This window comes from Homo sapiens, chromosome 2 (genome assembly GCF_000001405.40).
Source record: "Homo sapiens chromosome 2, GRCh38.p14 Primary Assembly".
Taxonomy (NCBI): Eukaryota; Metazoa; Chordata; class Mammalia; order Primates; family Hominidae; genus Homo; species Homo sapiens.
The window spans coordinates 6,365,772-6,383,574 of NC_000002.12; the positions used below are offsets into that span (position 1 = coordinate 6,365,772).

The 17,803-nt window shown below is 36.1% G+C and overlaps 1 long non-coding RNA gene across 1 annotated transcript; it reads right to left on the reverse strand.

Moving 5' to 3' along the window:
- Nucleotides 1-238: 238 nt before the first annotated feature.
- Nucleotides 239-9,651, reverse strand: LINC01247 (long intergenic non-protein coding RNA 1247). The gene is made up of 3 exons (NR_110251.1): nt 5,745-9,651; nt 5,075-5,221; nt 239-393 (listed from the first exon to the last, which is right to left on the reverse strand). It is a non-coding gene; the product is annotated as a long intergenic non-protein coding RNA 1247 (long non-coding RNA).
- Between the last annotated feature and the right edge of the window lie 8,152 nt (nt 9,652-17,803).

The window sequence follows — 17,803 nt, forward strand, 5'->3', positions numbered from 1 at the left end:
ATGTATTATATAAACCTGCCTTCTTCCCAACTAGGCTAAAACTTTCTTAACAACAAAGTCAAGGCATGACATTATCATTATATCCCCTTTTACCTAGTACAATTCCTAGCACAAAATTAGTAACTCATAAATGTCTGTGAAAATAAGTGTTTTAATATTGATGGTCTCTGCCACCAACAGGATTTTAAGTCCCTGGATGGTCAGGTATTTATAAAACCTCAAACATAACAAAATACTCTGTAATTGGCTAATGTTTATAAGTGTTTCTTGAAGCTACTATAGTCCAATTTCAAGCAATCAAGTACTTGGAGAAGCTTTTTATAAATGAAGAAGTTTGGGTGGTCAATCTCTGGTATGGAGACACATAAGTATTCTGGATAATACAGCATGACTCTGCAAAAGAATAATTTTGTTTTAGTCTTCCTTGAGTTTTTAGTACTTGGTATTGAAAATAATCAATACAGGTATATAAGATGAATTTATGAGTAAATAACCAAATAAGTAGAGAAAGTATATTTTCATGCAAAAGGTAACTTTTTTTTTGCAGATGTGTGAAATGCTATGACTTATATTTTAACAAGAACATTCTGGGGACTGTATTAAAAACATTGTGAAGTAGGTTAAAGACAAACTGGGTAAAAGCAGGAAGATTATTGCAGTCATCCAAGAGAGATGATGATGGCTTGGACTGTGGAGGTGACAGTGTAATGGAAACAGTGGTTGGAATCTGTCCATGTTTTGAAGGTGACACCTACAGCTTGTATAAGAATTGAATATTCAGTGTGAGAAAAAGACAGGAGTCAGGGATAATCCCCAGCTTTTGTGACTTGAGGTACTAGGATTAGATTTGCCGAGACTTAGATGGTAAAAAACACAAGATGTCAGGGTTTGTGGGGAAGATCAAGAGCTTCATTTGGGGGAAGTTATGTCTGCATACTTAATAGCATAGATTAGCTATAGAAGAAGGAGACATAAACCTGGGGGGCCTCAGAATACAGAGGGCATATGAAGCAATGAGACTGGAAAAACCAGCGATGAGTGGGAAGTGTGAATAATACAGTTATTCTCAGGTTTCCTTTTCATTTTTATACTCAATGCTCTTTCAAAGGTTTTTAACACATGTATTTACAATATATTATTCCGTTTTATGCATCATTTATTAACTTAACAATTATGCCTACCAAACACATGGCATTCACAGATTTAATATTTCCAAATCAGACTGTATAGGAATCCGGAAGGTTCACAATGTGTAGAAATGTGTCATTTTGTTAAGGCCTGGATATTAACTTTACACCGTAAGTCTAATATGTAGGAAAAAGTCACTAAGCCTAGTTAGCCCACGCCCTTCTTAACCTACCCTTGTTTTTTGATACTCATACACCTTGGTAAATCTGGTTATATCAGTGTTAGGAATTTTGCCCATTTCTGGACTTTCAGGAAGTTTCCCCGTGAATAGTAATGATCTGTTCCATAGTAGGACAGAATGAATTGAAATTATATTCTAGAGCCCCATCCAGTTAAAAATTAAGTCCTGGTAAGCAATTTCAAAGTTATTTCCAGTGCTATGTTATCCAGGAGCAAGGCTAGGTATTGCGAAAATTTCAATGATAAATATTTCACTTAATTTGACCTCAAGGAACTCACAATTTAGTATAAATATGACAGAAATGTGAATTCATATAACACAAGGTGAAACGTGAGAAGGGTCATCAGGAAAAGTCAGTAATGGATGCTATTAATAAGGTGTCAGGACCCTCCGGGTTAGGTTCGTGTGTATTGGCTGCTCCTGGGTAGGTGCTGTCTCCCCAGAGAACCGCTTTCAGCCACATGGAAGACTGACTTTATTTCCCAGGAGGTTGCATAAAGCCCACAGCCCATGGACCAACAAGGGAGCCTGACCTCCTTGCCTTGAGGATGGACCAACTCAAGACACAGTTCATCTTCCAGAACACACTATGTGAGGAGGCCAGAGGCAGAGTCCTGCTGAAAACACACGTGTCCTTGGCTCCTCCCCTGCCCAGTACTAATGTCTCTTCCCTTTCTCCTGTTCACAGTCCTTCCTTTGATGAACCACACGCACCCTAACTTCCATCTCAGGCTCTTCTCTGAAGAATCTGATTATAGATAGGTACAGATCAAACACAAAGGAAGTTTGTGCAAAATATTTCCATCAGATAGATAAATCCAGGACGGAGAGCATCGTGGAAGGCATGGTAGTTGGACTTTCTGAGATAAGAAGGATCTGGGTATGAAAAATGAATGGGAGGCCGGGCGCAGTGGCTTACACCTGTAATCCCAGCACTTTGGGAGGCCGAGGTGGGTGGATCACGAGGTCAGGAGTTTGAGACCAGCCTGGCCAACATGGTGAAACCACATCTCTACTAATAAAATAAAAACTAGCCAGGCATGGTGGTGGGCTCCTGTAATCCCAGCTACTCGGGAGGCTGAGGCAGGAGAATCACTTGAAACCAGAAGGCAGAGGTTGCAGTGAGCAGAGATCGTGCCACTGCACTTCAGCCTGTGACAGAGTAAGACAATGTCTCAAAAAAAAAAAAAAAAAGAAAAAGAAAAAGAAAAGAAAAATGAATGGGAAAGGTCTACTCCATGTATGTCAAAGCAGAAGATAGAAGTACAGTTAAGTCCTTCTGGAAAATAATGACTGTATGCATTTTTTGCTAGTGAAGTCACTATCTGCATAGCTCAGCCTCAGAGCAGTGTTGAATCCCAAAGACTATGTTCCAGGAACAAAAAGCAATTTTACAGTAGTTTACCCTTCGCTTCCTTTTCACAAACAGCATAAAGAATGTAAGCAGACCACAGCAATTATGCTTAGGTCTTCTCTCTCCTATCTTTCTTCATATACGATAGTCACATTCATGCCTTTCCTGAACCCACATGGCCTACCTCACCTTCTGCACTCCTAGGCCCATTACCTCCTGCCTTTCTTCACCTCTCTTTTTCTCATGGTTGTGTTTCATGTGGCCATGAGGACCATGTCTTGCAAGGTCCACCATTCCATGGAGAGCAAGGAAGGGAAACAGGACTAGGAGGTTAAGCTAGGATTGACTTCACTGACCAGAGTCAGGGAAAACTCCAAGAATGGTTTGATATAAGTAATCTTTATCTCACTATTATTATTAAGGATCTAGATGCATGGTGCAAAGCGAGGTCATGTTTGTATGTTGAATCTATGCTTCACCACAACCCCGCCATGCCATCCATTTTGCAGACAATTAAGTGGCGGCTCACAAATGTTATTGATAGGCTTTTGTGATGTGCATGGCCCTTTCCTCTACATCGTTCTGCTCAATGTTACCTTTCTCTCCTTAAACATTTCAAGAGAAGGCAAAACTAGTTTTACTTGGAGTGATGTTTAATTTTATGTGTCAACTTGACTAGTCTAAGGGATGCCCAGACAGCTGGTAAAACATTATTTCTGGGTATATCTGTGAGGGTGTTTCTGGAAGAAATTGGCACATGAATTGGTAGACTGTGCAAACAATATCTATCCTCACCAATGTTGAAGGCCCTCATCCAATCCCCTGAGGACCTGAATAGAACAAAAATGTAAAGGAAGGGTGAATTTTCCCTCTGTTTTGAGCTGGGACTTCCATCTTGTGCCCTCCCTCAGGCATCAGAGCTCCCGGTCAAGTCTTTGGACTGGGACCGAATTACACCACCAGCTTTGATGGTTTTCCAGCTTGCAGATGGACTATGGAACTTCTCAGCCTCCACAATTGCATGAGTCAGTACACGTATATTACATATATTATATTATAATTATATTACATATCTATTAGATATGTTGTTTTATATACATGTGGTTTTCTTACTGTTGTTGAAAAACATTTTTAACTTATTCAAATTAATCTGAATAATTTCCAAATTTTTTATCATCACCATTAAGGAGTTTTGACTAAGTACTTGTGTTGGTTGCAATTTGGCAACCAACAAAGTAATTTGTTTCCCTGTGAAATTTAGAAATAGTCTAACAATGCTCATTATGGTTAACTACATAATTCAGTTTACCCCATGCCATCCAAAAAATATGATTATTAACTATTGCATTTTATTAGATCCAACAGATATAAAGAAAATGTCTCATTGTGACATCAGGAAAACATTCAGATGTGATGTTTGATATTAGAAATGTTGCATTTGTATTTATTTGCATTCTGTGGATGTTTCATTTTACCTGTATTTATTGATGTCTACCTTTTCCCTTTATAATATATTTCTACAAAATAAATACATATTTTATATTTGTGCTTCTTATTATAGTAATAACATAATAAAAAGCACAAATAAAGCATTTGTCATCTTTATTGCAAAATTATATTTAACCAATATTTTTCTATGTATTTTGAATGCATTTGCATTTATTTCATAGTAAATATTTAATAATCCATAATTATTTTGACCAGTTCTACTGTTGCTTATACTGTCACACACATATTTTTTAAGAATATTTGAATAATTTTGATGTCATTGTCAATTAAACTTTTTAGGAGAATCTGAACAATGGCTACATTGTCATATGCACATAGAAAGGCAATATAGAAAACCAATGATTTGCTGTTTTTCTTTTCATGAAAATCTGGGCAATTGTTAGTTCTATTAGTAAAACAATTAAAGAATCAAGAAACTTGCTTGATAAGAAGTATTATTTAAGCCATGCCTTTTTATCAAAATATGTCATGTTCCAATGTAGAAATCATTTAATGATTAACTTGCATTTTGTTCAGAATGACCTACTGAAAATAAATGATAATTATTCAATCATATAAGTGAAAAAACAGATGTACAGATCTCTTATGCAGAACACTTTGGATTAATGAGATGTTTTTTAAAAATCAAATTCAAGCCAGCTATAGAATAGCCCTGGAACTGTCAAGAAGGTCTTTTCTACATTTAGTTTTAATCAATTTGGTTCCAATCAAAGGGATTTTTCAACGCTTGAAACACACTGAGAGGTCTGAGGACACAACGTATTTCTAAATTCAACGGGGAAAAATCTATTTTGTGTCATCATTATGACCTTGCTTGGTAATATCATCCCTTTTGCCCACACCTGGGTGATGTCTTCTTTCTTGGTGGAGCTTAGTATGCCAACCACACACTGCTCTGTGACGTGTTTCCTTGGCAGTGGATCCAAGTCCGTAGCATCCATCGAAGGGGTCAGTGAAAGGCAAGCAGCAGGCTGGTGTGAGCTGGACATCTGGCATGTAGTAAATGCATTGAGAAAGCTAATAAACCACTCATTGTGAATGACTCCTGAAATTGATTCCAACATGAGCAGTTGGGGGAGAAATAAGCTTTTAGGAAGGTCATTTAATGTCATATAGAGTCTTTCTCTACAACCCAGTTAAACTGCTTAGCAGTTTACAAAGCAAATCCCAGCCCAATTTTGATCTGGTAATTAATTGAGCCTTCTACTCAGGGAAAGTCTGTGCATAGAAACTAGATATGGCCATAATTCTTTAGCCTTAATAACTCAGGATTTGAATTGCCAGATGGTCTTTGACACGAGATCGCTGCTGAAGAGAAATGGAAATCACTCCACTCATGTCAGTGCTTTGTGGATTCCTCACCAGTGACATAGAAGCTTGGTGTATGTAGCTGCACCCCTGCAAGTGCAGTCTTACTGAAGTTCTCATATTAATCTTACAAACACATTATCAGAAGTGGGAAATGACTAAGGATATGATCAAAGAGGACTCAAATGTTTCTCCAGGTCTCACCTGTGGGAAAGAATACTATTTCTTACAAAAAGGAAGTGGAAAGGGCTCTATGTCTGTACATGGAACGAGGAAGGTTGAGGTCCTGGAGAGGATGAAGGCCTGGGAAGCTCCACTCTCAGCACCTGGAAGGACTGCAGGCCTCAGGGACACCAACTAAACAAGCGAGAGTCCAGAACAATGAAATTACAATCAAACCAATGCTGATATGCAATGCTACTAACCATGGTTTAATATTTCCTAATTGTCTGTTCCTGCTTCATTTTTTGCATGACATTTTGCAAAATTCATTGCATCTTTTTTCACTAATTAATTAGCAAAAGGTTATAAACGAACTTCGTATGTGAAAATCATATGTATTCTTAGGGATAGAAAGAAAAGGTGAAGGTTGGGAGTCTTGGAAGGAGCTACAAAATTTGGTAAAACAAACAAATTTTGAAATAAGATATATTTACATTTAAACACTGGTCCTGCCGCTTGTTAGTAGTGTGACATTAAGCATGGTACTTTTATTCGTGAAGTCTTGGACTACTCATTGGAAAAATAAGAATTTTATTATCCACCTAATTGGATGCTATAAAATAGTAAAAAGGGAAAAATAGCCAGCATGTCCCATGTCCTTGTGACAATTTTATAACCTCTTTAAAAGACAAATGGAAATATTTTCAACTCCTGGTTCTGAAGCAAAAAAGAAATGGCAAGTATTGAATTAAAGTTAATATAAGGAATGTGTAAACTTGCACTTGAAATACTATTTTACTAGAACTCAGTATACGTACCATAGATAATAAGGCAAATGACATATAGGTAGTAGTGAATGAAGGTGTAGATGAAGCATTGGAAACGTAAATGCTAGGTATAGGAAATGAGCAGGCACTGAGGGCCCAGGAAGGTCAATACTAAATTTCCAAGGCTGACATATGCTTGGGGTTTTGTTATTCACCTTTGAGCTGAGACAATAAAGCAATAAACAGTTTTATAACTTAATAAGGCAAGAGTATAAAGACATAGTCAAACAGAAGCTGTAACAGACAGCAAAGCTGGACTTGGAATGACCACTGTCTGGATACAGGCTCAGGAAAAACCACAGACTGGGGAAAAATCACAAAAATGCAGCAGCCCTGTTCATAGCAAAGCTCAGTGCAATCTTCCCTAGTCAATCCTTTATGGCTCCAGGGGAATGGCCTTGCTTAAAACCTTGTTCCACCATAAAAAGGGGTCATTCTAAGGTCAGATCATAGAAGTCTCATGTCCCACTGACACTGAGTCACCAATCTTGAACGAGAAATGGCGGGACTCTTCTCCATGATTCATCCATTTAGTTAAAAGCTCCTAGCTTCCTGAAACTGCTGATCAAAATTTTAAATCCTTGGCAATATCATTGTATGTAATAATGTTTAGTGTAATGTATGCATTAGGACAGCAATTATCCATCTTGCTGCCGTGTGTGTTGTAATCACTTGTGAACTGATCTAAAAATTATTGTTATAAAAAGAGTTAAGAACAGTTTATTAATGGTTAAAATAAATTAGAAAATATTTAACTTTATTCCTAAAATGCAATGCATTATTGATACTGTCATGTGGTTTCTTGAAGGGAACTGCAGGGGATGGAATTTTAGATAGTACTATGGGAAATGCACTCATTCCAGAACAGTTCTAAATAGGGCAAGTTGTGCATATAAAAGTACTCCTCACATATATGATTTGGTGTGTGGGAGGGTGATGAGAGACAAAATTGGGAACTGCTGCGTTTCTTCTTAATATAGTTTGGATATTTGTCCCCACTCAAATCTCGTGTTGAAGTGTAACTCCTAATGTTGGAGACTGGCAGAGGGATTTGGATAATGGGGGCAGATCCCTCATGAATGGTTTGGGCCAACCCCTTGGTGATTAAGTGAGCTCTTGCCCTGAATTCATATGAGATGTGGTCATTTAAAAGTGTTTGGCACCGCCCCCCACTCTGTCTCTTGCGTATTCCTGCTTTTACTACACGACATACCTACTCTGTCTTCACCTTCTGCCATGAATGGAAGCTTCCTGAGGCCTCCCTAGATGCCAAGCAGATCTGAGCACCACCATGCTTCCTGTAAAGCCTACAGAACTGTGAGCCAATTAAACCTCTTTTATTTATAAATTACCCAGTTTCCTGTATTTCTTTATAGCAATGCAAGAACTGCCTAATGCATATATGGAAATAAGACCTGCATCATTTTAAAGCAATGTTCCAACATTGCAATTAAAAGTGATTCACAAGATGTTATGAGCTGAATGTTTGTGCCGACCCCCCCAAATACATACGTTGCAATCTAAACCCCCAATATAATAGTATTAGGAGGTGAGGCCTTTAGGCTGTGATTAGGTCATGAGGATGGAGCTCATGAATAAAATTAGTGCCCTTCTAAGAAGAAACAGAAGAACGATGATTTTTCTCTCAACCATGCGAGGGCATAATGAGAGGACACCCATCTGCAAACCAGGAGCAGAGCCCTCGCCAGACACCAGATCTGCCAGTAGCTTAATCTAGGATCTCCAGCCCATTACTGCTTGGTTGGAAGTAGTGATGAAGTGTCTTCTGTGCATTCCTTTTAAATTGATGCCTCCCATGTTTCTGGTAAAATACTAAAAAATAATTTTGAGTTTTTAGAGGACACAAAGAATTCAAGCTGGGTGCAGTGGTTGATGCCTGTAATCACAGCACTTTGGGAGGCCGAGGTGGGTGGATCACCTCAGGTCAGGAGTTCAAGACCAGCCTGGCCAACATGGTGAAACCCTGTCTCCACTAAAAATACAAAAATTAGCCAGGTGTGGTGGTGCATGCCTGTAATCCCAGCTACTTGGGAGGCTGAGGCAGGAGAATCCCTTGAACCCAGGAGGTGGAGGTTGCAGTCAGGCGAGATCGCACCAGTGCACTCTAGCCTGGGTGACAGAGCCAGACTTCATCTCAAAAAAAAAAAAAAAAAGAATTCACATTAAAAAGGCCAGAACTAGATAAGACACCTAGGACACAAATTTTAAGGAGACACTCTTTCTTAGTTTCCTGCAAGTGTTGACCTTGTATTTGTAGTACCTCCTTAAACGATTTGCCCTGAATGCCTCTCTGCCTTCACCTTAGTCCCTGTTCAGCTTGTCCCAATATGAAATAAAACAGACAATGGGCACTCCAAATTATGGAAATATCAAAGGAGAAAGGGAAATATCAGCTTGGGGAGTTATTAAACCTTTTGGACTAAATGTATGCATCTTCTAGGGGCTTTGGAGATAATATTTTAGAATCTATAATATAGTTAGGTTGCTTATGAGTAAAATAAATGGCCTGAGGGGGAAAGTTTTTTGTAATTCAAAAAGTGAACTGCCATCAGCTGATGATTAGTTTTAACCCTCTTGATGAGAATGCATTATTCACTTAAGATATTAAGGTGGTGAAAGGGAGCAGGCAGAGAGCCACTCATATTCAGAACTTTTAATATAAAGCTATAAAATGATATTAAAAAATGAAAAAAATTCCCTTGAAAGACATAATGAGACCAGAATTACTCAGTAAAAAATTAGATAACTTGAATAATCTTAATTCTACTAAGTAAGTGGAATTTGTAGTAAAAACCTTCCACAAAAGAAAATTCAAAACATAAATATATTCACTAGCAAATTCTACAAAAATTCTCCTTAACAATTTATAGTAATTCTACACAAATTCTTTCAAAATATGAGTAAAAGACCACTTCCCAACTTATTTGATGAAGCTAGCATTAAACTAACATTGAAACCAGAAAAAGATATCAGAAGAAAAAAAGATACATAGCATAAAATCACTTACATATATGTGTGAGATATATATATGACTGATATATATATGATATATATATACATATGACAGATATATATAAACACAAATGTCCTTACAGAATACTAACAAATTGAATCCACCAAAATAGAATGCATCATGATCAAGTAGAGATTAGTCTGAGAATGCAAGGCTGGTTCAATATTTAAAAATAAAATCAATCTGTACAATTCATCATGAAAAAACTAAAAAGTGTAAAAAAAAGAAATTATATTGATACATGAAGAAACAGTCTTTGATAAAATTCAAAATGCATTCATGATTCTTTCAAAAGTCAGCAAATTAGATATAGAAATAAACTTCCTCAACCAAATATAAGACATCATCAAAAAAATCATGCTACTACTATTAAACATTATACTAGAGATCTTAGCAAGTTCAATAAACACAATACAGAAAAAAGACAAGAAAACTGAAAATAAATAAAACATTATTATTATTATTATTATTATTTTTTGAGACAAGGTCTCGCTCAGGCTGGAGTGCAGTAGCACAATCTCTACTTGCTGCAGCCTCGGTTTCCTGGGCTCAAGTAATCCTCCCACCTCAGCCTTCCAAGTAGCTGGGACTACAGGTGCCTGCACCACCATGCCTAGCTAATTTTTGTATTTTCTGTAGGGACACATTTTCGCCATATTGCCCAGGCTGGTCTCAAACTCCTGAGCTCAAGGGATCTGCCGCCTTGGCCTCCCAAAGTGTTGGAATTACAGGCATGAGACACTGTGCCCAGCCATTTTCTTTTTCTTTTTTTTTTTTTTTTTTTTTTTGTAGATGACATGAATTGGTTACAAAGAGAATCCAAAAGAATCTTTAAACAGAATTAATACTAAGTTTGGAAAGGCATGAGAGTACAATGCCAGTATAGAAAAACTAATGGTATCTAAATATGTTAGCCACAAAAAATGAAAATTGATTTGAAAAATGGTATCATTTACAATAGTACAATAAGCTTGAGGTAGTTACAAAACTTTAAAAATTTATGCAAAATCTGTATGCTAAAATTTTGTTTCAAATATTGATGTAATAAATAATGTACAATCTAATTAAATGGAAATATATACTTTGTCATAGAATGGAAGATTCGATGTTGTCAACTCTCTCAATTTGTCTATAGATTCAACACAATTCCAATCAATTTATATAGAAAGACAAAGTAACTAGAACCCATAATACAAATTGAAAAAGAAAAAACAAAGTTAGGAGGACTCACATTGATGCCCAGATTTGATGTAAAGCTACACCACTCAAGACTGACATTACAGAAAGAGTGGACATCTAGATCAATGGACATGAATAGAATCCACATATATAATCATGCGTATATGCCCAGTTGATTTTTATCTAAGGTGCAAAGGCAATTCAGTGGAGATGGGATAGTCTTTACAAATGATGCTGGAACAATCAGATTTCTATATGTAATACAAGAAACCACAATCAATATCTTGCACTCTACACAAAAATTAACTCTATAAGGATCATAGACCTAAATACAAAACTGAAAATTACAAAATTTCTAGTTGAGAACATAGGAGGAAATCTTATGATTTGAACTTAGATTAAATTCAAAAAAATCATCTATTAAAGAAAAAATGATAAATTGAATCTCATCAAAAGAAAGAACATCTACTCTTTAAAATATAGTATTGAAAGAAAGATAAGGCAGCTATACATTGGAAAAATATTTTTAAATCACACATTTTGCGAAAGACTTGCATCCACAATATACAAAGAATATTCAAGGGATGGTTTAACATCCGCAAATCAATAAATGTGATACACCATGTAAATGGAATTAAAAACAAAAATCACATAATCATCTCAATAGACACAGAAAAAGCATTTGACAAAATCCAGCATCACTTTATGATTAAAAGCCTCAGCAAAATTGGCATACAAGGAACATACCTCAATGTAGAAAAGCCATCCATGATAAATACACAGCCAACACAATACTGACCAGGGAAAGTTGAAAGCATTCCCTCTGAGAACTGGAACAATACAGGGATACCCACTCTCACCACTTCTATTCAACATAGTACTGGAAGTCCTAGCCAGAGCAATCAGACAAAAGAAAGAAATAAAGGGCATCCAAATTGGTAAAGAGGAAGTCAAACTGTTGCTGTTTGCTGATGATAAGTTTGTATACCTAGCAAATCCTAAAGACTCTTCCAGAAAGCTCCTAGAACTGATAAAATAATTCAGCAAAACTTCTGGATACAAAGTTAATGAACACAAATCAGTAGCTCTCCTATACACCAACAGTGACCAAGCTGAGAATCAAATAAAGAACTTAACCCCTTTTACAATAGCTGCCAAAATATATATAGAATTAGAAATATACCTAACCAAGGATGTGAAAAACCTTTGTGAGGAAAACTACAAAACACTACTGAAAGAAATCATAGACAACACAAACAAATGAAAACACATCCATGCTCATGGATATGAGAAAGTGAACATACTGCCAAAAGCAATGTACACATTCAATGCAATTTTCATCAAAATACCACTATGATGCCTCACAGAACCAGAAAAAAACAATCCTAAAATTCATATGGAATCAAAAAAAGAGCTCACATAGCAAAAGCAAGATGAAACAAATCTGGAGGCATCACATTACCTGATTTTAAACTATGCTATAAGGCTATGGTCCTCAAAACAGCATGGTACTGGTGTAAAAATAGGCACATAGACCAATGAAACAGAATAGAGAACCCAGAAATAAACCTAAACACTTACAGCCAACTGATTTTTGACAAAGCAAACAAAAACATAAAGTGGGGAAAGGATATCCTATTCAACAAATGGTGCTGGCATAACCAGCAAGTCAGATGTAGGAGAGTGAAACTGGATCCTCATCTCTCACTTTATACAAAACTCAACTCAAGATGGATCAAAGACTTAAATCCAAGACCTGAAACCATAAAAATTCTAGAAGATAACATCAGAAAAATCCTTCTAGACATTGGCTTAGGCAAAGATTTCATGACCAAGGACCCAAAAGCAAATGCAATGAAAACAAAGATAAATAGGTGAGGCTTAATTAAACTAAAGAGATTTTGCATGGCAAAAGAAACAGCAGAATAAACAGACAATCCACAGGGTGGGAGAAAATATTCACAATCTGTACATCTGACAAAGGATTAATATCCAGAACCTACAAGCAACTCAAACAAATTAGCAAGAAAAAAAAACAAACGATGCCATCAAAAAGTGGGCTAAGGACATGAATAGACAATTCTCAAAAGGAGATATTCAAATGGCCAACAAACATGTAAAAAATGCTCAATATCACTAATTATCAGGAAGATACAAATCAAAACTACCATGTAATACCACATTACTCCTGCAAGAATAGCCATTATCAAAAAATCAAAAAATAATAGATGTTGGCATGGATTTGGTGAATAGGGAACATTTCTACACTCCTGGTGGGAATGTAAACTAGTACAACCACCGTGGAAAACAGTGTGGAGATTCCTTAAAAAACCAAAAGTAGAACTACCGTTTGACCCAGCAATCCCACTACTGGGCATCTACCCAGAGGAAAAGAAGACATCATACGAAAAAGATACTTGCACATGCATGTTTATAGAAGCACAATTCACAATTGCAAAAATGTGGAAGGAGCACAAATGCCCATCGATCAACAAGTAGATAAAGAAAATGTGGTATATATACAATGGAATACAACTCAGGCATTAATAGGAATGAATTAAGGGCATTCACAGCAACCTGGATGGGATTGGAGACTCAGTGAAGTAACTCAAGAATGGAAAACCAAACATTGTATGTTCTCACTCATAAGTGGGAACTAAGCTATGAGAATGTGAAGGTATAAGAATGATACAATGGTCTTTGGGGACTCCAAGGGAAAGGGTGGGAAGGGGGTGAGGTTTAAAAGACTACAAATCGGTTTCAGTGTATACTGCTCAGGTGATGAGTGCACCAAAATCTCACAAATCAACACTAAATAACTTGCTCATGTAAACAAATACCACCTGTTCCCCAGAAACCCATGAAAATATTTTTTTTTAAAAAAAGAGAAAACAAACTAATAAATGCATAAAAGTTTTGAACAGACTTCACAATATAAGATACATGGATGAAAAATAAACACATGTAAAGATGTTCAACGCAATTAGTCATTAGGGAAATGCAAATTGAAATCAAAGTGAGATGCTACTATACACATAATAGAATGATTAAAATTTTAAAATGATGGGCAGTTCCAAGTACTGACAAGAATGTGGAGTAATTGGAATTCACATAGATTGCTAATAGGAACATCTTTTAGCCTCTTGAGTAGAACTTGGCTGTTTCTTATAACGTTCAATATATTGTATTTATCATATGGCCTAGCAATCTTACTCATCAGTATTTGCCTGCCTGAAATGATAACCTATTATTACATAAAAACCTGTACATGCATAGTGATTATATTAATAATTGCCAAAACTGTAAAGATCCAAATGTACCTCAACTGAAGAATTGATCAACAAACTGTGGAGTACCCATACCATGGTATACTATTCAACGATAAAAAGAAACGAGCTGTTCATACACTCAACAGCCTGGATGAATCTCAAATGCATTTTATACTAATTACTGGGTTTTTTTTAAATAACAAGACAAAGAATTCAGAAGTAGCTTGAGGTTTTTGTTAGTTTGTTTTGAATGTCTGACAACATGAGATAGATTTCTATTAAAATATGAAATGGGAAGAATAGGTCTTCATGCTTCAGAATTCTATTTTTATGTATCTTTAATTGTCGAAGTTACTCAAATCATCGTGCTTCCGCTTATAGAATTACCTGCCAATATACAAGGGTTTAGGAAATAATCTATCAGTTGGCCCTTCCAATAAATAATATTTATTTCTGCAGGAGAGCTCACCTGCATTAGCAGTTGGAGGTTTGTTCTTTGGAAGACAGTGGAGTAGGTTTCTGTAAGAAGTTAATAGTTAGATCACTACTTCCTATTACGCTCTCAGTAGCTGAACACTGTAGTTGCTTCCAGTTGTATCACAGGTTGGAAATTATTTACAGAAACAAATGCATTGCCTCTCCAAACCTAAATCAGTGATGATAAGGAACTATGAAGAAGGGAGCCCTGTTTATAAGAGACACAATTTTATCTTTAATTGAAAAACTTATTCCTTTCAACTTTGTTTCAAATATAACTAAACCAAGATAGTAACAATGTAGGAAATGTAAGACAGAGATAGGAATTCTTCACAGAATGATTTATACATTCTACATTCCCTTTTGTTTTCACCCAATATGGTGAAATGAAAGAAAGAGAGAGTCATTTGAAACAACAGTGATGGCAATTATGGGTCAAGTTCAAAACAAAAAAACTATTCAAATTTGCAAACGCTAACATTTTTGGGTTACTCAACCATCCCATATATAAAATTTTAAACGCATGTGTCTTTTAGGAAAGAAAGCAATATTTATGGAAAGAAGTGAACATTATTATGTTGTGATTTACAATGGAAAAAATAATTTATTAATTAATAAATTCAGTTAATAAAACATTTGTTTTCCTTTTTGTCTCCACTGATGAGACTAGGAAGAAGGAACATCATGTAAAGAAGAAATTACAAGTTTTGTCATATATACATTTAGAAATTATTTTTAAAGTGTTTTGATTATGTAAAATATAAACAATACAGGTAGCATTTTCTTTACTGAGACAATCTTTCATTTAAATGGTAATTTATATCTCAAGCATTCACTGTATTTTCTTAACCATTTACCTATCTGAACTTTATCAAACCTCTGAAACTTTGATCCAGTTGTATCTTCTCATATTTATGCTATTATTCATTTTTAGTTATAGGTAATAAAAAATTGACTAATTAGATTCACAGAATGGCAAAACTGTAGGAATCTTGGAGATCGATAACAACTCCAGTATTTTTCACGAGTGTAGAAACAGTTACCCAGTGGGGAGTTTCAGTTATGTTTTATTTGAATGGATGTACTTAATCTTGCTACTACTCCTCTAAACCAGAGACACTCAAAATCACAATAATTTTGTTAGCTGTATAATTAGTTGAACACCTCTGAGACAAAGTCATCGTTGGACCAGAGATTCAGTTTACTTTTCTTTTTGGCAAGTAAGGAGGATTATTGTGAAGGAGAAGCAGCAAATGATCACGTGTGAATTCCCTGGAGTCAGAGTAGATTAAAAATTGCTAAATTCAAGTCTGAAGAATCCAAGCTAGAAGCTCCCTCTCCACAGTCATCATTCCCACAGCAATAATCTAAAATTGTGATTATGCAATTGAAACACCTTTATATTTGACATTCAGAAATTTATTTTTAAAAATACTAAAAATATAATATGAACTATGTAATAGAAAAATATAAAGAAATAATACTGATACACCCACTCTTCCCCAGGCAAGCAGAAGTCTTTTTTATCTTCTGAATTTCCAAGAACGTGGGTCTTTCTCTTTTGGTCCTTTTATTTTCACTTAACAATATGCCATAAATATGTCTCATATTTATAGAGACTTTATAATTGTATTTTGGATATGCATGTATTATTTAATTGTATTAAAATTACATAATGTACAGAAGTATTTCTATAATGTAGCACTAGATTTTATTACTGATGATCTCTGGCCATTTTGTGTAGTGCTACAGCAAACATTTTGTTTCTATAAAAAATATGCAATTTGCAAAGATCTTATTTGTTGAAAAAAATCAGAAAACAAAATAGAAAAAGAACATTATCCTTAAGGCCCAGAGGAGATTCACACACATAAACATGACTTGATAAATGAATCAACCTCTTTTGTGGAAGAGTGTGTTTGTGTTTGTCATTCTCGATGTGAAGCAAAAACAGAGCTTTTTGAAATTGAGAATCAAGCCTTAAGGAAAGAAAAGTCAATAGGGGCCAGGTGCAGTGGCTCATGCCTGTAGTCCCAGCACTTTGTGAGGCCGAGCTGGGCATATCACAAGGTCAGGAGTTCGAGACCAGGCTGACCAATGTGGTGAAATGACATCTCTACTAAAAATACAAAACTTAGCTGGGTGTGGTGGTGGGCGCCTGTAATCCCAGCTGCTCGAGAGGCTGAGGCAGGAGAATCGCTTGAGCCCAGGAGGCAAAGGCTGCAGTGAGCTGAGATAACCCCATTGCACTCCAGCCTGGGTGAAACAGCAAGACACCGTTTCAAAAATATATATATAGATGGGATGTAATGGGAAAAAAGTGTGATGTGTTATTAAGGAAAACATAAAAGAAAAATATGAGAATTTTAAATCTTCACTGGAGACTCTAAGAATAGAATTACAGAAAATTGAATTAGTGATGTAGAGGACAAACTTGGTACACTTTCTCAAATATGAAGCAAAAAAGATAAAATGAAAAGAAGACATATGATTGATACGGAAGATTGTAATTGGAGGTTTAATCTAAAAATTAAAGTTGTTGAAGTAAAAGCCAAAGCACTAAGAAATGAGATGAAAATCAAAGACATAATTAAATGCTTCCAAAAGAAATAAAAATAAGAACCCCCTTAAGCAGATACGAAGGAATCATTACATTTCAGAAAAATTAAGTGAAACTGAAGCACACCCCAATGTCTTGCATCGTATCCCTTTGGTTTCACTGACTTCAGATACAGGTAAACAGTTCTGTGTAAATTCAGCATCCCCGGATGTTAATGCCTCTACTCCAGGTGTTTTTCTTCTCTTCCCCTTCTCTGACTGCCTTTCCTGTACGCCTCCAGGCCAGCACAGCCTGAACATGTGGGGAAGCGACAGCCTCCTGGGGCGATTTCCACCAACTGGGACTGGAGTCAATGGTAACAATTACCATTCAGAATTCCTGTAGACACAGTATTGGAAATCTTTAGAATGACTCATTCTATAGAGAAAGCATCCTCTCAAGTGTATGTCCAATGTGAAATTTTATACTAATGGGACAACATTAGCCAACCCAAACTGCCCAGAGCCAGCAGCTAGTATTTGAGATGCAGGATTGACACGACACAACTACTCAGGACTGGCTGAAGTCATCTTTCCACGGGTAGGTTGAGGATTGAATGGCAGGCTGGGATTTGATGATTATCCGGGCTTCATTCTAGAATGCAGGTAAATGTATCCTGCTTATCCACAAGACTAAATTCGCTGAGCCATTATTTTTGTGCACTCTTATACATTAGAGGTAAGAAGACATTGAAATAGTAGAAAACAAAGAGGTGA